This window comes from Homo sapiens, chromosome 2 (genome assembly GCF_000001405.40).
Source record: "Homo sapiens chromosome 2, GRCh38.p14 Primary Assembly".
Lineage (NCBI taxonomy): Eukaryota > Metazoa > Chordata > Mammalia > Primates > Hominidae > Homo > Homo sapiens.
This window is the reverse complement of record NC_000002.12, coordinates 76,569,354-76,595,055: the sequence shown is the minus strand read 5'-3', so window position 1 is coordinate 76,595,055 and position 25,702 is coordinate 76,569,354. Positions and strand designations below refer to the sequence as shown.

At 38.3% G+C, this 25,702-nt stretch overlaps 1 long non-coding RNA gene across 1 annotated transcript, besides 3 other annotated features; it reads right to left on the bottom strand.

Annotated features, from left to right (window-relative positions):
* Positions 1–5,092: 5,092 nt before the first annotated feature.
* On the bottom strand, positions 5,093–25,190 carry LOC105374814 (uncharacterized). Its single transcript, XR_940261.3, has 3 exons — positions 24,946–25,190; positions 7,360–7,441; positions 5,093–5,429 (listed from the first exon to the last, which is right to left on the bottom strand). It is a non-coding gene; the product is annotated as an uncharacterized LOC105374814 (long non-coding RNA).
* Positions 14,898–15,399: an enhancer, noted in NCBI's record as "OCT4-NANOG-H3K27ac hESC enhancer chr2:76806783-76807284 (GRCh37/hg19 assembly coordinates)". NCBI's record gives its function as "activates a minimal SCP1, AML or CMV promoter by ChIP-STARR-seq in primed H9 embryonic stem cells {active_cell/tissue: H9 hESC(primed)}" and the evidence as "EXISTENCE:reporter gene assay evidence [ECO:0000049][PMID:30033119]".
* Positions 15,400–15,899: an enhancer, noted in NCBI's record as "OCT4-NANOG-H3K27ac hESC enhancer chr2:76806283-76806782 (GRCh37/hg19 assembly coordinates)". NCBI's record gives its function as "activates a minimal SCP1, AML or CMV promoter by ChIP-STARR-seq in naive and primed H9 embryonic stem cells {active_cell/tissue: H9 hESC(naive and primed)}" and the evidence as "EXISTENCE:reporter gene assay evidence [ECO:0000049][PMID:30033119]".
* Positions 20,555–21,451: an enhancer, noted in NCBI's record as "OCT4-NANOG-H3K27ac hESC enhancer chr2:76800731-76801627 (GRCh37/hg19 assembly coordinates)". NCBI's record gives its function as "activates a minimal SCP1, AML or CMV promoter by ChIP-STARR-seq in primed H9 embryonic stem cells {active_cell/tissue: H9 hESC(primed)}" and the evidence as "EXISTENCE:reporter gene assay evidence [ECO:0000049][PMID:30033119]".
* Positions 25,191–25,702: the final 512 nt, after the last annotated feature.

Genomic DNA, 25,702 nt, shown 5'->3' with positions numbered 1-25,702 from the left:
GGAGTCTGATGTTTGAAGGTAAGAAACATCCATCATGGGAGAAAGATGAAGGCCAGAAGACTCAGCAAGTCTGCTCTTTCCATGCCTGCTTTTATGCTAGCAGCTGATTTTAGATGGTGCCCACCCAGATTGAGGGTCTGTGTCTTTCAGTCCACTGACTCAAATGTTAATCTCCTTCGGCAACACCCTCACAGACACACCCAGGAACAATACTTTGCCTCCTTCAATCCAATCAAGTGGACACGCAATGTTAACCATCACAGATATGAACAATATTTAGTTTACTTGTTATATCAGCTAGCTATTTCACCCCAGGTATTTCTCAAAGGGTACGAAACTTTCAATATGGCTAAGTACAACTACAATAATTATAAATGTAATGATAATGTTACAGTGATCTTTTGATAATTTCTGCTTTGCCTGCTGGGGAATCATTCTTAGAATATTGTTGAAAAAGCAAATACACAAATAACAGAAATGCAACACTCAAAGTAAGCTGAATGACATATATTTTTTGCTAAAAGTTCTTGGGGAGATGAAAGAAGGATCATGTTTTATTTTATGTCAGGGCACTTCTATGCTATTCCCAGTATCTAATCTTTTTGTTGTTGTTGTTGCAATGATCTTACCTCCGCTCTCTCATACCTTTTCTTGACTACTTTGCTCCCTTCCTTTCCTTAAGCATGGGTTCCTTTTCATTTCTATAAATCTGTAAGCAACAATTTCCCAAGCTCAACACTATTGACACTTTAGACTGGCTAATTCATTGTTGTGGAGAGCTATTCTGTGAGTTGTAGGAGGTTTAGTAGCATCCTAGGCTTCTATCTACTAGATGCCAGTGGCTTCCCTCCAGTTTTGACAATCAAAATATCCTTAGATATTGCCAAAACTTCCTTGGGTACAGAATATCCCCTCCTCATTATTATGTAGAGGGCTGCAGATCTTATTCCCTCTCTCTTCTCCCTTTCTCACCATTTTTCAGTTTGCATTTCCAGTCATCAGCAAGGGTTCTCCTTTTTTCAGAACATGTCTGTAATCTGTACATGAAAGGAGCAAAAGCTCACACAATCTGAAAGTCAGCTCAGTTTTCACAATTCCAAAATCCTGTATATATGACTATTTATGTGATGTATATATGATATATATCATAATATACAGAAAATATAAAATGAAAGCAAACAAGCAAAAATTGCTTGATGTATAAAATTATGTATCAAGTTAGATGAGGTCAGTTGAGAAAATGAAGTAGAAATATTCCCTTACAAATAAGATTTCTTCAAATAAGCCAGTGAAAATCTAGAAATTCTCCAATTTATAGCACTAAAAATATTTATCTATGACCTAAAGCCAGGATTCACAAATGAAAAATGGATTACTTCAAGATAAAAGGCAGGAATAAATATGCCACAGAAAAAATAAGCAACAATTTGAAAATGTAGCCATTATATGATCAGCTCAGTATTATTTTCCTGGAATTAAAAAAATGAATAAGGATAACAAAATCGTTCTCTTAGTATGAGAAACGTGGAAGACTAATATAAGAAATCCAGCATTCATGTAATAGGAATCCCAGAACAGAAAAAGGCAGGTAGAAGAGAAACAGTAATCAAAGAAATGAAAAAAATAAAACTTTATTCAGCTAAATGAGGTTATTAATTGAATATTCTAATCTTACACAAAATTTTCATGGAGATACAGTAACATATAAGTTTGTAAAAGTTTGAGCTTTTAATGTGAAAATATTATCCAACAATTACATAGGCAGAAAGATAAGTGAACTTCATAATAAAAAGTAAAAATGTTTGGCATGCAGAAATCATTAAAATTTTTAAACTAGAATAACATGAACAAAGTCAAAAAATAAATTTAACATGCAAGAAACCTTGGTGAAAAAGCTATCTTTTAAATTAGGTATGAATTATTGATAATTTAAATATTAAAGTTATATTTTGGCTCAATATTTCCCTACTATCTGCGGTAGGGGTAAACTTTTAATTTTTTTGTATTATTTCAGATGAAATGAAGCTGGTTTTCTTTAAACTTTCAGGAAAGCACATGATAAAATCTTAGGAGAAAAGATGGATGTGTTCCAAAAAAATTAAGGCATAAAAAAATTAGAAGTGAATAATAGAAAATTCCCAAAAAACTGAAGAAAAAATTAAAAGAATCAATAAAAATATAATAAGTAGGGGCCAGGCGTGGTGGCGCACGCCTGTAATCCCAGCACTTTGGGAGGGCCAGGCAGGCGGATCACGAGGTCAGGAGATCGAGACCATCCTGGCTAACACGGTGAAACCCTACTAAAAAATACAAAACATTTGACTTCCTCTTTTCCTAATTGAATACCCTTTATTTCCTTCTCCTGCCTAATTGCCCTGGCCAGAACTTCCAACACTATGTTGAATAGGAGTGGTGAGAGAGGGCATCCCTGTCTTGTGCCAGTTTTCAAAGGGAATGCTTCCAGTTTTTGCCCATTCAGTATGATATTGGCTGTGGGTTTGTCATAGATAGCTCTTATTATTTTGAGATACGTCCCATCAATCCCTAATTTATTGAGAGTTTTTAGACTGAAGGGTTGTTGAATTTTGTCAAAGGCCTTTTCTGTATGTATTGAGATAATCATGTGGTTGTTGTCTTTGGTTCTGTTTATACGCTGGATTACATTTATTGATTTGCATATATTGAACCAACCTTGCATCCCAGGGATGATGCCCACTTCATCATGGTGGATAAGCTTTTTGATGTGCTGCTGGATTCGGTTTGCCAGTATTTTATTGAGGATTTTTGCATCAATGTTCATCAAGGATATTGGTCTTACATTCTCTTTTTTGGTTGTGTCTCTGCCCGGCTTTGGTATCAGGATGATGCTGGCCTCATAAAATGAGTTAGTTTTGCAGATGACATGATTGTATATCTAGAAAACCCCACTGTCACAGCCCAAAATCTCCTTAAGCTGATAAGCAACTTCAGCAAAGTCTCAGGATACAAAATCAATGTGCAAAAATCACAAGCATTCTTATACACCAATAACAGACAAACAGAGAGCCAAATCGTCAGTGAACTCCCATTCACAATTGCTTCAAAGAGAATAAAATACCTAGGAATCCAACTTACAAGGGACATGAAGGACCTCTTCAAGGAGAACTACAAACCACTGCTCAATGAAATAAAAGAGGATACAAACAAATGGAAGAACATTCCATGCTCATGGGTAAGAAGAATCAATATCGTGAAAATGGCCATACTGCCCAAGGTAATTTACAGATTCAATGCCATCCCCATCAAGCTACCAATGACTTTCTTCACAGAATTGGAAAAAAACTACTTTAAAGTTCATATGGAACCAAAAAAGAGCCCGCATCCCCAAGTCAATCCTAAGCCAAAAGGACAAAACTGGAGGCATCATGCTACCTGACTTCAAACTATACTACAAGGCTACAGTAACCAAAACAGCATGGTACTGGTACCAAAACAGAGATATAGATCAATGGAACAGAACAGAGCACTCAGAAATAATGCTGCATATCTACAACTATCTGATCTTTGACAAACCTGAGAAAAACAAGCAATGGGGAAAGGATTCCCTATTTAATAAATGGTGTTGGGAAAACTAGCTAGCCATATGTAGAAAGCTGAAACTGGATCCCTTCCTTACACCTTATACAAAAAATAATTCAAGATGGATTAAAGACTTAAACGTTAGACCTAAATCCATAAAAACCCTAGAAGAAAACCTAGGCATTACCATTCAGGACATAGGCATGCGCAAGGACTTCATGTCTAAAACACCAAAAGCAATGGCAACAAAAGCCAAAATTGACAAATGGGATCTCATTAAAGTAAAGAGCTTCTGCACAGCAAAAGAAACTACCATCAGAGTGAATAGGCAACCTACAGAATGGGAGAAAATTTTCACAACCTACTCATCTGACAAAGGACTAATATCCAGAATCTACAATGAACTCAAACAAATTTACAAGAAAAAAACGAACAACCCCATCAAAAAATGGGCAAAGGATATGAACAGACACTTCTCAAAAGAAGACATTTATGCAGCCAAAAAACACATGAAAAAATGCTCACCATCACTGGCCATCAGAGAATGCAAATCAAAACCACAATGAGATACCATCTCACACCAGTTAGAATGGCAATCATTCAAAAGTCAGGAAACAACAGGTGCTGGAGAGGATGTGGAGAAATAGGAACACTTTTACACTGTTGGTGGGACTGGAAACTAGTTCAACCATTGTGGAAGTCAGTGTGGCGATTCCTCAGGGATCTAGAACTAGAAATACCATTTGACCCAGCCATCTCATTACTGGGTATATACCCAAAGGACTATAAATCATGCTGCTATAAAGACACATGCACACATATGTTTATTGCGGCACTATTCACAATAGCAAAGACTTGGAACCAACCCAAATGGCCAACAGTGATAGACTGGATTAAGAAAATGTGGCACATATACACCATGGAATACTATGCAGCCATAAAGAATGATGAGTTCATGTCCTTTGTAGGGACATGGATGAAACTGGAAATCATCATTCTCAGTAAACTATCACAAGGACAAAAAACCAAACACTGCATGTTCTCACTCATAGATGGGAATTGAACAATGAGAACACATGGACACAGGAAGGGGAACATCACACTCTGGGGACTGTTGTGGGGTGGGGGGAGGGGGGAGGGATAGCACTGGGAGACATACCTAATGCTAAATGACGAGTTAATGGGTGCAGGACACCAGCATGGCACATGTATACATATGTAACTAACCTGCACATTGTGTACATCTACCCTAAAACTTAAAGTATAATAAAAAAAAACACAAAAAATTATCCGGGCGTAGCGGCGGGTGCCTGTAGTCCCAGCAACCCAGGAGGCTGAGGCGGGAGAATGGCGTGAACCCAGGAGGCGGAGCTTGCACTGTGCCGAGATCGCGCCACTGCCCTCCAGCCTGGGCGACAGAACGAGACTCCGTCTCAAAAAAAAAAAAAAAAAAACAAAAGGAAGAAAGAAAAAAAAAAATATATATATATATAATAAGTAGGAAAGTAACATTATTAAGTTAAAATATCCATAATTAAAATGTGTGTATATGATCTTTATTGAAGACTACCAAATTCTCTAAAAAAATTTAGCTATACGGTGTTAACCATTAAACGTAAAATGAATTGGCACTAAGTGGTTTAAAACAAAGAATGAGTACATATAGGTCAGACAACACTGTAAAAATAAAGACAAAATAGAATTCAAGGAAGAAAACAAAACATGAATGGTACTGATGAGCATGGCGCTGATGGAGAATGGCTCTGGAGCTGTCTGTGTAGGTTTGAGTTCAGGGCAGCTGCCTGGGTGGCTTCCTTGCTTGCTAGCTGAAAGTAACAGTATGTGTTCATTCTTTACACCTGGTCTCTTTTCTGTGAAATGGCAATAATAATAACAACGACAATAATATTATGGACCTAATAGTGATACAGAGAATTTTAACACTGTCTGCAACATTGGAAGCCAGAGTAGATGATACATGTTACCTAGAATTTACCAAAGTTTTACTTTATCAGCACATATAGTAATGACAATTATTTCTGGGCCTAATATGATATTGTTGCAATACATTAAATTAAAAACAAATAACAAAAAACTTGAAATTACACAAGGGAAATTGACAAATCCACCGTTATAATGGGATCTTTTAAATTCACTTATCTCTGAAACTAAAAACATATTTTAAAACAAATTATAGAGGAATTGTAATAAAGCAATTAACCAACATGTAGTCATAGATAGATATTATAAACATAATTTGTATCAAGAAATACAGAAATAAGTTTGTATTCAAACAAATCTAGACCATTTGATAAATCAGATTACATAGTGAGCATGAAAGTAACATTCAATAATTTTCCCAAGGCAAAAAACATGTAGGCTATGTTTCTGACAATTATGGAATAAATTCAAACTTTGCAACAAAGAATGTGACTCTACCCCACATACACACACACACACACACACACACACACACACACACACACACACGTACCCCTTAAGCATGTGAAAACAGACATGCTACTATATTTTTCTTGGTTGACCCAAGAAAAGTTCCCTCTTGATTAAGCAAGAAGTAATGATATGAAGATTAGAAAGTACTTGAAAATGAATGGCCATGAGATCACTGCATATTTAAACCTGGCAGAGTCAAGAATGTCACCCAGAGAAAAGGTACAGCCTTAAATATGTATAATATAAAATGAATATTAAAAATATATCAACTGGATTTCAATTTATGAAGTTAGAAAACAACAAAATAAATTTTTAAATAGAAATAACGTAATTATAAAAGTAAGAAACAATATAATACCAAAAATATAGACTTGGTTAATATAAACACAGTTATTTTATAAGATCTATCGAACATACAAGCCTTGAGGAAATCCAATCAAGAAACATGAAAGAAGACCAAACTAAACAAACCAACCACAAAATTAGAAATGAGAAGAAATATATAACTATAAACAGAGAATAGTTATAAAAATAAAATGCTCCAAGCAAATTTATGCCATTGAATTTGAAATTTAAATGAAATTAATATATTAAAACTATATACGTTAACAAAATTTGTCCAAGGAAAATTAAAATACCTAAATAAACTAATACCTATAGAATTTGAAAAAAAAAATCAAAAAGAGAAGTACTTCTAAAATAGATGTCAGTTCTAGACAGTTTGGAGATGAGTTTTTTCCAGAACTTGAAGAAAGCGATAGTACCTATGTTAGAAATGCAATTAAGAAAAACCAAAATGAAAGAAAAAAAATTGCTCAACTTATTCCTCAAGGCTAAAGCAAATCTGAAATCAAATCTAAACAAATGATGCACATAAAGAAAAATCCATAGAGTAATCCAATTTACAAATACAGAACAAAACTTTTAAATATGATATTCATAAATAGTATCAGGCAGACTTTATCTTAAGAATGAAATAATAGTTTAACATGAGTAATTATGCTGAAGATTAAATTTTTGAAAAGATGATTATCTTAATAGATGTTTAAAAAATGATCACTTTAATACCTGTTGATTTGAGAGAAAATAAATTTCAAAAGATTTAGTAAGCTAAATATAGAAGGACAATTGTTGAACCATGTGTAAGATGTTTATAAGACCCAGAACAACCCATATATATCATTTTCTGTTAAACTCAGGAAAAAGAAGACACAGATGTCCACTTTGATTACTTACATTCAGAATCTCATAGATAAAAATCTGTTAAAGTGATAAAATACATTAATCTTAGAAAGAAAAAGGCAAAATTTCAACTTAACTCAAATACCCAAACTCTGTGAAGCTTACCTTCTTTTAAGCATATGGTAGACAAAATGTTGTGAGGTCGAGGGTCCTGATGTATCATTGCATGATTGTTATGATCCAGTTGCTGGAGTGGAGGGAGACAGAAAAGGAAAATGAGATACAAGACAGAGGCAAATAGGAGATATACATCTGTGTACATCATTAAATAGAATGTCAGATAATCTATATATAGAAATCTACACATCTATACACAGAAATTGCTGAGCTACAGAAGTGGGGAAGAAGAAGATAAGAAATACAAAGAAGCAAATAGTCAAAAAGAGAAACAGAAAAACAGAGATGGGAGAGGTATGAACAGAAGGAGATGACCATTATTTTGACATATTTTAAGAATATATGTAGTAACCAAAATATTTTCCTCTCTGGAAGCTTGTGAAAAAAGCACTTGAGTTCCAATCCCACTCCATCATCCTCTTCCCCACTAAGATAAGTTTAAACTGAGAATTTGTTGTCTTTAATTTTCTAGTTCTTTTTCTTCCATTTTACAGATGTATAACTGGGGCTAAATTCTGGTAGTGAGACCATTATAGTTCTTTCAGATCAAAAGAATATACATCTTCCTCATCAGTCTCTTGTTTTGCATCCATAAGTAGACACTGATTCCTTGCATTTGCTTGATTTTGCTAGCTTGGTTTACTACTAGCATTCTTGGTATTTGTGCCTGCTTATCCTTGCATTTGAGATGTCTCAGGCTTTGTGATTTTCTTTGTACTATTTACCTGACTTTCATTCTTGGCTGAATGATTCTGAAAATGTCAGAGAGCCTTCCTCAGCTCTGGTTTCCTCATCCATAAAATGAGAATTATAATAAGGCTTGTTTTACAGTTTTATCAGTCACTTAAGATAATGTTTTGTAAAATGCTAAACAAATATTAGTTATTTTTAGCATGTTGGGATGTCTTAGTATACTCTGCTCTGCTACCAGGCACAATCACTGAGCTACTATTCATAATTTACCACCAACAATTCAATACAGCTTTCAAGTTTTAGCTGAATAGATTCTAAATTAAATTACAAAAAAAGGAGAAAAATAAAACAACTGACTGATATCACACAATTACTCAACTTTCAATACAAGTCTGGATCTCATATAAAAACAAATATGTCGTCACTTCAACTCTAGAACTCTAGTCTACATTAATATATGTGCAGGTTGCTAGGAAGTGAATATGACACATTACCAAATGTTATCTATATACTCCATGAACATAATTTCTACATTTCTAAATAAAATAGGAAAAAAGATCATGGTTTCATTTAAACTGCTGATGAATCTAACCTTGGATATACCACAGAAGCTAGAAAGAGACTGATGGAACCCAGAACATAAGTCACAACTCTGACAGACCTTTGAGGAGCACGAATTTGGTAGCATCCTCTTAAGAGAAGAAAATGGGGACGCAAGGTGGAGCAAGGCCAAGAGCCAAATGAGAGAATAGGCTGCAGAAGAGGTTTCTGATATGCTCATATCTTTCCTCCAATGCAGTTTGGGTATATCCCTGCTTTCTTGGCTCCTGTCTGGCAGGAAAACACCAATGCCAACTGAAAAAAAAAAAAAAGGAATTGACAGCATAAACTAGTGCTGTCTAACTGAGGGAGAACAAGGCAGACTGCTTGTAAGTGATCTTTCCATCCCTTAGCACAACCCCAGAGGCCTAAAAGTGCTGTCATAAAAGGAGCACTTGGAAAATAGGAGGGCCTAGAGTGCAAGCAATACTGTTCCCTAATAAATAAGTTCATATGATGGGAATGAAGTTGAGACCATGTGGGAGCACCAGAGATTTTTGTCCCTGATGTCTTGCCCCAAAGACTCTCTCATCTTAACTTGCCAGGCATAGTGCAGACCATAGCTTTTGCCATTTCTCTATGTACACGATAAAGCTAAAAAAAAAAAAAAAAAAAAAAAATCACTGATATCCCAAGGGAATAAGAAACAACAGGAAGATATAACAAAGCATGTGAGAACTTGAGATCCATGACAGGAAATGAAAGAATGAACAACCTGTCAGAAAAAAACTAACAGTGGATCACATGAAGTTTGAACTTACACCAAGCACAGTAGTATATTTTCACAGATAAGGGATAGACTTGGTAGCAGACATACAAGCTGTATAAAGAAGAACCAACTGGAGACACTGGTGTGACCAATATAAAATATTAAAGAACTAAAATATAATAAAGAAAAAAATGAGGCCACAAAGCAAGGCTTTACAAATTTAAGATAAGCCAGGCGTGGTGGCTCACGCCTGTAACCCCAATGCTTTGGGAGGCCAAGGTGGGCAGATCATCTGAGGTCAGGAGTTTGAGACCAGCTTGGCCAACATGGTGAAACCCTGTCTCTACTAAAAATACAAAAAAATTAGCCAGGTGACAGGCCCCTGTAATCCCAGCTACTTGGGAGGCTAAGGCAGGAGAATCACTTGTACCTGGGAGGTGGAGGTTGCAGTGAGCCGAGATCTCACCACTGCACTCTAGCCTGGGTGACAGAGTGAGACTCTGTCTCAAGAAATAAATAAATAGGCTGGGTGTGGGGGCTCACGCCTGTAATCCCAGCAATTTGGGAGGCCGAGGTGGGCAGATCACGAGGTCAAGAGATTGAGACAATCCTGGCCAACATGGTCAAACCTCATCCCTACTAAAAACACAAAATCAGCTGGGTGTGGTGGCACACACCTATAGGCCCAGCTACTCAGGAGGTTGAGGCAGGAGAATCACTTGAACCCGGGAGGCAGAGGTTGCAGTGAGCCAAGATCGTGCCACTGGATCCCAGCCTGGTGACACAGTGAGACTCTGTCTCAAAAAAAATTAATAAATAAAGTAAGATTGAAGTAATATCAAGTAACCTTCCTGACCACAATGATAAGAAACTAGAAATCAGTAACAGGAGAAAAACTGAAAAATTCACAAGTATGTGGAAATTAGCATGCTCTTGAGCAAACAGACAAATAAAGAAAACAAAGGGAAATTTTAAGATGTATTGAGAAAATGAAAACGAAAGAACACACAGCATACCAACACCTGTGGGACGCAGCACAAGCAGTTCAAAGACAGAAGTTTATAATGGTAAATGCCTACACTTAGAAAAAGAATCTCAAATAAACAATCTAACTTTATACCTCAAGGAACTAGAAAAATAAGAACAAAACTGATCCCAAGGTTAGCAGAAGGAAGAAAATAACAACGATTACACAGAAATAAAGAAAGACTAGATGGACAATAGAAAAGTTCAATGAAACTGAGGTTTCTTTTGAAAAAATGAACAAAAGTAATCAAGTTTTATCTAGGCTAACCAAGAGAAAAAGAGAGAGGAGTCACTGCCATTTCTCCATGTATACAATAAAGCTAAAAATCAATGCTATCCCAAGGATATAATTTTATCACTGATATCCCAACAATATAATTTTATTTATAAAATTATAAAGAAAAGTGGAGTCATTACAACTGATACCACAGAAATACAATGAAAGGATGGTAGGAGACTACTGTGAACAACTGTATGCCAATAAATCACATAGCCTAGAAGAAAATGTACAAACTTCTAGAAATATACAACCACAGTAGATATAAACCTATGCATATACAAGGCTGACTCATGAAGACAGAAAATCTGAACAAACCCATAATGAATAAGGAGAATGAAACAATAATCAAAAATTTCTTAACAAAGAAAAGCCCAGGATCAGATGGCTTTGCAGGTGAATTCTACCAAATATTTAAAGAAGAATTAACACCAATACTTTTTCAAACTCTTCCAAAAAAAAATAAATAAATAACAGAAGAAGAGGAAGAGAACAATTCCAAACTTCTTTTATGAGGGCAATAAGCCAGACAAGAACACTACAAGAAAAGACAACTACAGGCCAATAGCCCTGATGAACATAGATGCAAAAATCCAAAAATCCTCAACAAAATACTAGCAAAACAAATTCAACAGCTTATTAAAGGGATCATTCACTATGATCAAGTGGGATTTATTCCTGGAATACAAGGATGTGTCAACATACCCAAATCTATAAATGTGATACCAAATTAAGAGAATAAAGGATGAAACACATATGATCATCTCAGTAGATGCAGAAAAAAAATTTGACAAAATTCAACACGCTTTCATGAAAAATTCTCATCGAATTAGGGAATGCACTTCAACATAATAAAGACCATACATGAAAAGCCCACAGTAACATTATCCTCAATTTTGAAAAATTGAAAGCTATGCCTCTAAGATCTGGACAAGGCGACGGTTCCCACTCTCCCCCCTTTTATTCAACATAGGATTGAAAGTTCTATACGGAGATTGGTATAATTAATATTGTACAAATGTCCACACTGCACAAAACTATCTATAGGTTCAATGACAATTTTATCAAAATTCCAATGATAATTTTTACAGACATAGAGAAAACAATCCTAACGTGTACGGAATGACAAAAGACACAATCTTAAGAAATATGAACAAACTAGAGGCATTACACATCCTGATTTAAAAGTATATTACAAAGCTGTAGTAATCAAAACCCTATGGTATTGCCATAGAAACAGACACATTAAGCCAATGCAACAGAATATCGAGTCTGGAAATAAACCTACACATGTACAGCCAACTAATTTTTGGCAAGGATGACAAGAATACACAGTGATGAAAAGATAGTCTTTTTAATAAATGGTGCTGGAGAAACTGAATATCCATATGCAGAAGAATAAAAGTGTGCCCTTATCTTAAACCGTACACAAAAATTAACTCAACATAGATAAAAGACTTAAAGATAAGGCCTAAAACAAACAAACAAAAATCCTGAAAGAAAACATAGGAGAAAATCTCCTTGATATGGGTCTTGGTAGTGATGATTTTGGATATAACACCAAAATCACAGGCAAAAATAACATAAAAAAGCAAAGCAAAACAAACAAATACACAAAAACAAGTGAGGCTACATCAAACTAAAAAGTTTTTACACAGAAAAAAAAAAACAGTCAATAAAATGGAAAGGCTATCTATAAAATGGGAGAAAATATTTGCAAAGCATATATCTGTTAAAGGGTTAAATCCAAAATATATAGGCATCTCATAAAACTCAACAGTACACAAAACAAAGTAACCCAAATAAAAAGTAGGCAAAGAACCTCATGAGACATTTTTCCATAGACGACTTAAAAATGGCGAACAGGTATACTAAAAGGTATTCAGTATCACTAATCATCAGGGAAATGCAAATCAAAACCACAAGATATCACCTCACACCTGTTAGTATAGCTATATCAAAAAGACCAGAGATAACAAGTATTGGTGAAAGTGTAGAGAGAAAACAAACCATTGTGGAAAACAGTAGGCAGTTTTCTTAAAAAAGTGAAAATTGAGCCATGTGGTACAACAATCCTACTAAGTAGTATAAATCCAAAGAAGTGAAATGAATATCTCAAAGGTATATCTGTACTCCCACGATCATTTTGCCATTTACTTACAATACCCAAGACATAGAAACTATGTTAAGTGTTTTTTGACAGATGAACCGAGAAGGAAATATTTGAAACAATATCTAATGTTTTCATTTAAAAAATATGAAAAATGCCTATATAAAACAGAACGGTAAGAGAACACATTTGTATACACTATTATAATATTTGAGATCATTCAATAGAGAGACCATCTTAAAAGCTGCAAGAAAGAATAGTGTAGACAGCCTTAGAAACTACAAGTATTAGATTAAAAATTAGGTTTCTCAACAGCTACACTGCATACCAGAAGGCAATGCAATAATATTTATGTGTTGACAGAAGAGAAATTTGAACATGTTTTTAATCCAGTAAAACTATAATTTAAATATGAGGGCAAAATATTATTCTCAGGCATATGAGACTTTATAAAATTTACTATGCAAACTTTTCGTTGAAAACACTCTTGGAGGAAGTACTCAAACAGAAATAGAAACCAGATCCAGGAAGAAACAAGATATAGACGATCACACTGAATAAATAAGTCTACAAATCTTCTCGTGGTTTAAATAAACAATGTCCCCGAACTAGGAAAACAGCAGAAAAAAGTAGTTTTGGTGAGGTTGGGATTTCAGTATGTAGAGAAAGAGGTGAGAAATAAATGGATATTGATGAAAGAAATGGATATTGTGTATATATGTGTGTGTATACGTATACATATGTGTATACGTATGTGCATCTGTATGTGTATATATATACATACATATGTATATACACACACAGTTAACCCTTAAACAACACAAGGGTTGGGGTGTTGATCCCCCACACAGTTGAAAATCTACATATAAATTTGACTCCCCTAAAACTTAACTATTATTAGCTTACTGTTGAATGGAGGCCTCACCAGTAACATAAACAGCCAAGTTACACATAAATAGACTAAGATCTACATAAATTTTAAAGGATTAATGACATATCTTTTTCTTATTTTTTGATATTTTAGGCAATACAGTACATCTATGAGTTTTTTCAAATTTTCATAAATCTCCAAAACTTATTCCAATATATTTATTGAAAACATCTGCATATAAGTGGACCTATGCAGTTCGAAACTGTGTTGTTTAATGGTCAATTGTAGACTAAAGAAAAATATATTTACCATAATGCAGTGATATTAGAAATTAACAAATTAAAAGACAAATATTTTATAGCTAAAAAGTTCCACATGTTAAAATATAAATATTAAGTAATTCTTCATTGAAGAGGAAATATTTAGTGAAATAATCCATAAAATGAAAGTAATTTAAGAAGTCTGATATACAGCTGAAACTCTGAGAAAAATATTTGTGCAACTTAAGCTGTAAGATGAGCAAAAAAGTAAATGCAAAGTAGCAAGAAAGAATTTACTACAACAGATTAAATATTTAATGAATATACAGATTAGAAGAAAATATAACTATTATATAATTACGATAATAAGTATAGTATATAGGATATAATATGATATGATAATCTTGATATATCATGGTAACAAAGATAATATAAACAGCAATGAATTTGAAACCTTAGAAGAGATGCATTATTGGAAAAATATAAAATGCTAAAATTGATAAAAGAAAAAACATAACAAATAAATGAATATTGAACAAATAAAAATAACCAAAGACACTCTTCCTTACTTCACTCCCTACCATTTCAGAGACAGATAGTTCTATAGATAAATGCTATTTTAACATGTCCTTTCAAGGAACATATAATATATATTGTTAAAGATAGTAAAAAAATGAAAGTTAGCTGCTCCTTTCATTTGTCAAATTAACAGACTGGTATTACAGTAGCAGAAAATAAAATTACATGCTTTGCTATTTATAGGTGAATGTGAAACTTGGAAAGCTAGAAATGTGAAGGGGGTTCCTTGAGCAGTGCTGGAACCAAGACTAGCTACATAACTTACAGGGCTGAGTGCAAAATGAAAATGCGTGAGCCCTTGTTCAAAATCATTAAGAATTTCAAGATGGCGATAGCAGAGCATTAAGCAAGCATGGGGCCCTTTTATGCATGAGGCTCTGTGCAACTATGACTTCACAGGTCTCCAGCCCATGAAGCTGGCCCTGGCTGAGCCACTGAGCCTGGGTTGTGGGATATTTAGGGGGAGTTCATACCTTGGAAGAGGGACTGCCTAGCAGGCACTGGTGTCATAGTTAAAGACTCTGTTGAAAGAGAGACCAGAGGAGAATCATCTGGCTTTTTCCTCTCCTCCTTTCTTCCATTCTCCCATCAGTGCCTCCTATCTACCGAGCCTAACTGGATGCCCAAGAGTATTACAGCATGGGAATTTCATTCATGGAAGGTTAGTTCCCTGTATTAAGAAACAGACCAGTGGAAGAGGAGGAGGAAAAGCAGACCAGTTGGATATTAGAGTTGAGTGAAATACAGTCTCTACAACAGAGAGGAGCAAAGCAGATAGGGGATAGGGGCAGAAATAAAAAATAATAAAAAATAAAAATAATAAGAAAACCTTATCCTTATCCAGACTGTGGCTACTGTCAAGCCTCTGAGCCCAAGCCAAGCAATCGCATCCCCTGTGACTTGCACATATAAGCCCAGATGGCCTGAAGTAAGTGAAGAATCACAAAAGAAGTGAATATGCCCTGCCCCACCTTAACTGATGACATTCCACCACAAAAGAAGTGTAAATGGCCAGTCCTTGCCTTACGTGATGACATTACCTTGTGAAAGTCCTTTTCCTAGCTCATCCTGGCTCAAAAAGCACCCCCACTGAGCACCTTGCGACCCCCACTCCTGCCTGCCAGAGAACAAACCCGCTTTGACTGCAATTTTCCTTTACCTACCCAAATCCTATAAAACGGCCCCACCCTTATCTCCCTTCGCTGACTCTCTTTTCGGACTCAGCCCACCTGCTCCCAAGTGAAATAAACAGCTTTACTGCTCACACAAAGCCTGTTTGGTGGTCTTTTCACAGGGACGCGCATGAAATTTGGTGCTGTGACTCGGATCGGGGGACCTCCCTTGGGAGATCAATCCCCCGTCCTCCTGTTCTTTGCTCCGTGAGAAAGATCCACCTACGACCTCAGGTCCTCAGACCGACCAGCCCAAGAAACATCTCACCAATTTCAAATCCTGTAAGCGGCCTCTTTTTACTCTCTTCTCCAACCTCCCTCACTAACCCTCAACCTCTTTCTCCTTTCAATCTTGGTGCCACACTTCAATCTCTCCCTTCTCTTAATTTCAATTCCTTTCATTTTCTGGTATTTTCTGGTAGAGACAAAGGAGACACGTTTTATCCGTGGACCCAAAACTCCGGCGCCGGTCACGGACTGGGAAGGCAGTCTTCCCTTGGTGTTTAATCATTGCAGGGACGCCTCTGATTATTCACCCATGTTTCAAAGGTGTCAGACCACGCAGGGACGCCTGCCTTGGTCCTTCACCCTTAGCGGCAAGTCCCGCTTTTCTGGGGAAGGGGCAAGTACCCCTCAACCCCTTCTCTCCTTGTCTCTACCCCTTCTCTGCTTTTCTGGGGCAGGGGCAAGTACCCCTCAACCCCTTCTCCTTCACCCTTAGCGGCAAGTCCCGCTTTTCTACGGGGCAAGAACCCCCAATCCCTTATTTCCATGCCCCAACATCTCTGTGCCCCAATCCCTTATTTCCGTGCCACAACCTCGCATCTCTGTGCCCCAATCCCTTATTTCCGTGCCCCAACCTCTTATATCTCTGCACCCCAGTCCCTTAATACCATGCCCCAACCTCTTATTTCTGCGCCCCATCCCTTATTTCCCTGCCCCAACCTCTTATCTCTGCACCCCAACCCCTTTTCCCACTTTTCTGGAAGGTAAGAATGCCCGAACCCCTTCCCTCTGTTTCTCTACTCTCTCTTTTCTCTAGGCTTGCTTCCTTCACTACGGGCAACGTTCCACCCTCCATTCCTCCTTCTACTCCCTTGGCCTGTGTTCTCAAAAACTTAAAACCTCTTCAACTCACACCTGACCTAAAACCTAAATGGCTTATTTTCTTGTGCAATGCCGCTTGACCCCAGTACAAACTCGACAGCAGTTCCAAATAGCCAGAAAATGGCACTTTGAATTTTTCCATCCTGCAAGATCTAAATAATTCTTGTCGTAAAATAGGCAAACGGTCTGAGGTGCCTGATGTCCAGGCATTCTTTTACACATCAGTCCTTTCCTAGTCTCTGTGCCCAGTGCAACTCATCCCAAATCTTCCTTCTTTCCCTTCCGCCTGTCCCCTCAGTACCAACCCCAAGCGTCGCTGAGTCTTTCTAATCTTCCTTTTCTACAGACCCATCTGACCTCTCCCTTCCTCCCAAGGCTGCTCCTTGCCAGGCCAAGCTAGGTCCCAATTCTTCCTCAGCCTCTGCTCCTCCACCCTATAATCTTTTTATCACCTCCCCTCCTCACACCTGGTCCGGCTTACAGTTTCGTTCCGTGACTAGCCCTCCCCCTCCTGCCCAGCAATTTACTCTTAAAAAGGTGGCTGGAGCTAAAGGCATAGTCAAGGTTAATGCTCCTTTCTCTTTATCCCAAATCAGATAGCGTTTAGGCTTTTACATCAAATATAAAAATCCAGCCCAGTTCATGACTTGTTTGGCAGCAACTCCGAGACACTTTACAGCCCTAGACCCTAAAATGTCAAAAGGCCGTCTTATTCTCAAAATGCATTTTATTACCCAGTCTGCTCCCAACATTAAATAAAACTCCAAAAATTAAATTCTGGCCCTCAAACCCCACAACAGGATTTAATTAACCTCACCTTCAATGTGTACAATAATAGAAAAAAGTTGCAATTCCTTGCCTCCACTGTGAGACAAACCCCAGCCACATCTCCAGCACATAAGAACTTCCAAATGCCTGAAGTGCAGTGGCCAGGCGTTCCTCCAGAACCTTTTCCCACAGAAGCTTGCTACGCGTGCTGGAAATCTGGCCACTGGGCCAAGGAATGCCCGCAGCCCGGGATTCCTCCTAAGCCGCGTCCCATCTGTGTGGGACCCCACTGAAAATCAGACTGTTCAACTCACCTGGCAGCCACTCCCAGAGCCCCTGGAACTCTGGCCCAGGGCTCTCTGACTGACTCCTTGCCAGATCTTCTCGGCTTAGAGGCTGAAGACTGACACTGCCCAATCGCCTCGGAAGCCCCCTAGACCATCACGGACGCCGAGCTTCGGGTAAGTCTCACAGTGGACGGTAAGCCCGTCCCCTTCTTAATCAATACGGAGGCTACCCACTCCACATTACCTTCTTTTCAAGGGCCCGTTTCCCTTGCCCCCAGAACTGTTGTGGGTATTGACGGCCAGGCTTCTAAACCTCTTAAAACTCCCCAACTCTGGTGCCAACTTAGACAATACTCTTTTAAGCACTCCTTTTTAGTTATCCCCACCTGCCCAGTTCCCTTATTAGGCTGAGACACTTTAACTAAATTATCTGCTTCCCTGACTATTCCTGGACTACAGCTATATCTCATTGCCGCCCTTCTTCCCAATCCAAAGCCTCCTTTGCATCCTCCTCTTTTATCCCCCACTTTAACCCACAAGTATAAGATACCTCTACTCCCTCCTTGGCGACCGATCATGCACCCCTTACCATCTCATTAAAACCTAATCACCCTTACCCCACTCAATGCCAATATTCCATCCTGCAGCATGCTTTAAAAAGATTAAAGCCTGTTATCACTCGCCTGCTACAGCATGGCCTTTTAAAGCCTATAAACTCTCCTTACAATTCCCCCATTTCACCTGTCCTAAAACCAGACAAGCCTTACAAGTTAGTTCAGGATCTGCGCCTTATCAACCAAATTGTTTTGTCTGTCCACCCCGTGGTGCCAAACCCATATACTCTCCTATCCTCAATACCTGCCTCTACAACCCATTATTCTGTTCTAGATCTCAAACATGCTTTCTTTACTATTCCTTTGCACCATTAATCCCAGCCTCTCTTCGCTTTCACGTGGACTGACCCTGACTCCCATCAAGCTCAGCAAATTACCCGGGCTGTACTGCCGCAAAGCTTCACAGACAGCCCCCATTACTTCAATCAAGCTCAAATTTCTTCCTCATCTGTTACCTATCTTGGCATAATTCTCATAAAAACACACGTGCTCTCCCTGCCAATCGTGTCTGACTGATCTCTCAAACCCCAACCCCTTCTACAAAACAAGAACTCCTTTCCTTCCTGGCCATGGTTGGATACTTTCGCCTTTGGATACCTGGTTTGGCCATCCTAACAAAACCATTATATAAGCTCACAAAAGGAAACCTAGCTGACCCCATAGATCCTAAATCCTTTCCCCACTCCTCTTTCCATTCCTTGAAGACAGCTTTAGAAATTGCCCCCACTCTAGTTCTCCCTGACTCATCCCAACCCTTTTCATTACACACAGCCAAAGTGCAGGGCTGTGCAGTCGGAATTCTTATGTAAGGACCAGGATCGCGTCCTGTAGCCTTTTTGTCCAAACAACTTGACCTTACTGTTTCAGGCTGGCCATCATGTCTCCGTGCAGCCGCTGCTGCTGCCCTAATACTTTTAGAGGCCCTCAAAATCACAAACTATGCTCAACTCAATCTCTACAGTTCTCATAACTTCCAAAATCTATTTTCTTCCTCATACCTGACGCATATACCTGCTGCTCCCCGGCTCCTTCAGCTGTACTCACTCTTTGTTAAGTCCCACAATTACCGTTGTTCCTGGCCCAGACTTCAATCCGGCCTCCCACATTATTCCTGATACCACACCTGACCCCCATGACTGTATCTCTCTGATCCACCTGATATTCACCCCATTTCCCTATATTTCCTTCTTTCCTGTTCCTCACCTGATCACGCTTGATTTATTGATGGTGGTTCCACCAGGCCTAATCGCCACATACCAGCAAAGGCAGGTTATGCTATAGTACAAGCCACTAGCCTGTCTCTTAGAACCTCTCATTTCCTTTCCATCGTGGAAATCTATCCTCAAGGAAATAACTTCTCAGTGTTCCATCTGCTATTCTACTACTCCTCAGGGATTATTCAGGCCCCCTCCCTTCCCTACACATCAAGCTCGAGGATTTGCCCCACCCAGGACTGGCAAATTAGCTTTACTCAACATGCCCCGAGTCAGAAAACTAAAATACCTCTTAGTCTAGGTAGATACTTTCACTGGATAGGTACAGGCCTTTCCTACAGGGTCTGAGAAGGCCACCGCAGTCATTTCTTCCATTCTGTCAGACATAATTCCTCAGTTTAGCCTTCCCACCTCAATACAGTCTGATAACAGATGAGCCTTTATTAGTCAAATCAGCCAAGCAGTTTTTCGGGCTCTTAGTATTCAGTGAAACCTTTATATCCCTTACGATCCTCCATCTTCAAGAAAAGTAGAATGGACTAAAGGTCTTTTAAAAACACACCTCACCAAGCTCAGCCACCAACTTAAAAAGGACTGGACAATACTTTTACCACCTTCCCTTCTCAGAATTCAGGCCTGTCCTCAGAATGCTACAGGGTACAGCCCATTTAAGCTCCTGTATAGACGCTCCTTTTTATTAGGCCCCAGTCTCATTCCAGACACCAGACCAACTTAGACTGTGCCCCAAAAAACTTGTCATCCCCACTATCTTCTGTCTAGTCATACTCATATTCACCGTTCTCAACTACTCATACATGCCCTGCTCTTGTTTACACTGCCGGTTTACACTGTTTTTCCAAGCCATCACAGCTGATATCTCCTGGTGCTATCCCCAAACTGCCACTCTTAACTCTTGAAGTAAATAAATAATCTTTGCTGGCAGGACTATACTGAATCTCCTTAGGCACTCTCTAATCAGATATCCTGAGTCATCCCAATTCTTAGACCTTTTATACCTGTTTTTCTCCTTCTTTTATTCTATTTGGTTTCTCAATTCATCCAAAACCGTATCCAGGCCATGACCAATCATTCTATATGACAAATGTTTCTTCTAACATCCCCACAATATCACCGCTTACACAAGACCTCCCTTCAACTTAATCTCTCCCTCTCTAGGTTCCCACGCTGCCCCTAATCCCACTTGAAGCAGCCCTGAGAAACATCGCCCATTCTCTCTCCATACCACCCTCAAAAATTTTCGCCGCCCCAACACTTCAACACTATTTTGTTTTATTTTTCTTATTAATATAAGAAGGCAGGAATGTCAGGCCTCCGAGCCCAAGCCAAGCCATCGCATCCCCTGTGACTTGCACGTATACGCCCAGATGGCCTGAAGTAACTGAAGAATCACAAAAGAAGTGAATATGCCCTGCCCCACCTTAACTGATGACATTCCACCACAAAAGAAGTGTAAATGGCCGGTCCTTGCCTTAAGTGATGACATTACCTTGTGAAAGTCCTTTTCCTGGCTCATCCTGGCTCAAAAAGCACCCCCACTGAGCACCTTGCGACCCCCACTCCTACCCGCCAGAGAACAAACCCCCTTTGACTGTAATTTTCCTTTACCTACCCAAATCCTATAAAACGGCCCCACCCCTATCTCCCTTCGCTGACTCTCTTTTCGGACTCAGCCCACCTGCACCCAGGTGAAATAAACAGCTTTATTGCTCACACAAAGCCCGTTTGGTGGTCTCTTAACACGGACGCGCATGAAAGCTACCAGAGCACCAAGTGACTTCATGTATCTGAGATAAATTATAATAAAGCAATAATAATAAAAATAATGATATAGAAACTCATATAATAAAATTTTCCAAATTAACCAATCTGTTGTAATGCATGATTAATCATTTTAAATGTGATCTGTGGGTGATCAGAGAAGCAACTGCTCTTCATTTCAATAAATCCACAGTATATCCATGGTATCACATTATTTCTGTTGACCAAAGACAAGACCCAAGTTAAATGCAAAATTTCAGTGATTTGGTTTATATAATCAGCTTGACATTTTGAAATTTTGAAATTATTAATCATTTCTCTGAGCAAAGAAGTGCTCAGAATCCCAATTGTTTAATTAGCTAAAGAGAGAAAGGGAATGATGGAATATAAACACATTCCCAGTGCTCAGCGTGTATCAGGCCCACTTTCATGTGTTAATTCCTTTAGTCTTTCCAACAACCCTATGAGGGAAGAATCAGTGGTAGCCGTAATTTACAGATGAAGAAACTGATGACCAGAATAGTTAAAAGCTTGCCCATGTCACACTGCTAGTAAGTGGTAGATCCAGGATTTGAAGTTGTTCATCCTCTAGTGAAAAATGAATTAGGAAGCTAAGAAACTGAACAACTGATGGGTGACTTTTGCCCTCTAAATTCAATCTCATATTTTCTCTAAGTAAATTGGCTTAATCACATACAAGGGAGGTTGAGAAGGATTCTTCTCTCTTGGCTTAGAGTGGATTCAAGGCACATGGGCAGACTCTTATCTCTGTCAGTCTCCATCCTGGGTCCTGTGTGATTTTCCAAAAGAAGGGATGCCTCAACCCACAATGGAAGGTTGCTTCAGATATGTCCTACCACAGGCTACAGCCAATAATGAGGGTCAAGATAAATCTGAGAACACAGGTTGTTTACTTCATGTTTGTAAATAAATCCTTTAATTCCTTTGACTGAAAACATTACATTCCACCTACATCTATCTTGATAGCTTGGGATTCTTTTTTATGGTTTATGTTCATGAGATGGCCTCTTCCATTAAAACACCTGGAAGGTGGGCATGAATTTCCTGAGCTGTGCATACAAAGCTATTAAAATGTTAAAATTTTCATTATCGTATAGATATTTGAATTGAAAAGACAATCACTAATAAGGTTAAAGTCAATTTTTAAAAAAGAAATGAAAATATTCCAGCTTCTGGTCATTGTCCATTAGTACAGGTTGTCTACATTCATTACACACAAAATTTTTAGAAAACTTATATTCATTTTGAGGCAAATGTGTTTTCTTGATTGACTTGCTCAATGATTATAGGCTGAGCTTTCCAGTAGATCTGAAATCTACTTGCTTCTGCTTTGGTTATTCTGGACGGGAAGGAAACAGCTCCGAACAGAAAGAATCATTCTGGAATAAAACAATGGCTTTACTTCTATATCAATTCTTCAGGAAAAGAACTTGCTTTGTTCACCTCTGTTATTTCAGGATCTGCTTCCCTTACTTTGCTAAATGGCAGTAATTCAGCCTTAGAATTTCTTGAGGAAAATAAAGTTTAAATGTCAGAATCAAGACCAGCGATTAAAAAGAGGTGAGGCCAAGGTGAAGATTCCTTAATCCTCTAAAACAAATCTGTATAAAATCAAAAAGTAACTGAGAATTCTGAAAGGATTGTGCTGTTTGGGGAGGTTTAAATTTGTCAAGAAGATATAAAATAAGAAAAATGCAGTAATTTTCTCCAGTCCCTTTGTTTGTCAGTAACGTGTATCACAGCTGAAATGGCAGAGGTGATATTTGCAGAGAGATATACAGTGTGAACCAGCTCCTCAGGTGCACAGTCAGAACAACAGGCGGCAACCCAGCTGGGCACACATGGTGCTATGGTCTCAATGTTTGCTCTCCCAAAATTGATATTTTAAAATCTTAATTCCCATGGTGAGAGTATTAGAGGGTGTGGATCCTGTGGGAAGTGGTGCGATCATGAGAGTGGAGACCTCATGAATGGAATTAGTGCCGTTATAAGGGGCTAAAGAGAGCAGAGTTGTCCCTTTCTGCTAGATGAGGACATAGTGAGAAAGAGCCATCTGTGAAACAGGAAAAATCCCTCACCAGATGCTGAATCTGCTAGTGCCTTGATCTTAGACGTGCCAACTTCCAGAACTATATGAAATAAATTTCTGTTTATAAGCTACCTAGTTGATGGTATTTTGTTAGAGCAACCCAAATGTACTAAGACACATAGTTAAAGAACAAAGGCAGTATAGAGCCCAGGAAGATATGAGGAGGGAGTAAAGAAGAGGTTCATCCCTAACAGTCATAATCCCACTTCTTATCTCAATGAATGTTTTCTTCTCTTAGGTCCCCACACACATACTATTTGTGGTATCAATTCATTCACATTGGGTTTACTAAATTATTATTTGAAGCATGATATATTTTCAAAAAAGAAAAGGACAAGCTAAAAGCCCAACAAAGTAGCAAACTTAAGCTTCGCAGAGTGAGAGGTAACAATGAACTTTCCTTTCTGTCTCTGGGAATTCTTTTTCTTCCCCCTGCCCAATCTGTGCTGAGAGTAGTAACGAGTGCCCCAGAGCTGGCTCTGACAGACCCTCCCCCTTTGCCCAGACAGCATATCTTTAAAGTTATTTTAGTTACTTGTATAATAATATATTTAATAATTATAATAGTTATGCATCATCATTGAGAATTTGTCAAATTTTGTAGAATTACAATTTTTTGTGATCCATTTGTCCATAATAGCTAATTTACACATTAGATACCCTTTTGTAAGTTTGCATACACACACACTCCATAAACTGGTACCTCACTCAATATAAAACGTGCTCCTCTACATTCTTGACTTCAAGCACTGCAAATATTTTCTCTCACTGTTAAATATTTCTTGAAAACACCATTTACAGCTACTACTTAATGTATCATCACGCAGATACACTATAGCCTCTTTAGCTATTGCCCAATACTAGACATGTTCATTTCTTATGAAGGTCACTTATGTCTACTTTGTAATTTAAAATGGCAAGGAGCTTTTCTCTATTATATACTTTTCTCCCTAATACGGGTGAGTTATTTTCCAATTTTACACCACAAAAGCAACTGAGGAGTCCAGGTCTAGGCAAAATCTTTTGTGTGATTTTTTATGCCTGTCCCTTAGCAACTATAAGCCTTTGCCTGGCAAATCTTATAGGAGAAACCTTGCCCTTCCCACACCAGACGTGGTACACAGCCAGTGCATTAGCGTGTTCTGGAGGGAGTTGCAGTTAAGGACTCAGGCCCCTCCCTGGTGAACATTGCTGTTATGCAGATCTGCATTCTTAGCCCAAGTGTCTCCACTGAGACCACCATAAAGAGTTCTTGGCTTTCAGCCACTCTCACTCAGTGTTCCTCTGCTCCTACGTCTTCCCTTCCCTGTCCCTCTTCCTCACTCTGGCATCCTGGGTCCTCAAAAAAACAGGAGCCTTTTTTTTAATGTTCCTGGGCAGTGGGAAGACTTCTCTCACCTGCACTGCATGCCACCACAATCCTGACCACTGCTGTCCCATGGGGAAAATTAACACTAGGGAGCCGGCGCTTATTTTTGCCCTTGATTACATCATCACAGCAGGTGAACAAAGTCTCGATCGTTAGTTTCATTTCAGCTCATTGTCCTAATGGACCACCTCGACACCTGGCAGCTCCACACTAGTAGGAATTTTCTTCCATCTTACAGATTATAGTTGAGAAGCTTAGTGCTATCTCACTCATACTTTTCAGTCTCCTGAGGAAAGAGGAAAAATAAGTAAATTAAAAATGAAAAAGGGTGAAATTATGAGGTTAACATTGACAGGACAATTTTTCTCATTGAAGAACTGCTTCAAGCATTTTTCGTCTGCATATCACATTCAATTTACAAGTATTTTCTCAAGTAGCCTTCACAAACACCTTATAAGGCGGGTATATATTTACCCATTTCACAGATGGAAAAATTTAGATGTCAAATCAAAATAACAATGTCTTGAAAATATTCTGCTTTTGGTCTGCAGCAATAAATACACACACAAATTTCCTCTTGATGGACAGTGGAATATTTTAGAATAAGGAGAATCTGTATTTCTCATTATATTTAAAAACACTATGTGCAAACAAATACTGAAGATCAACATATATCTGCTCTGAGTTCATAGGGCCAAGTAAAACATCATTCTTCTTGATGTTTCCTCAGAAATATGTTTTTGCCCTTGGGGAGACAAGATTTCCAAAGGAAACAAAGGTAAAAAT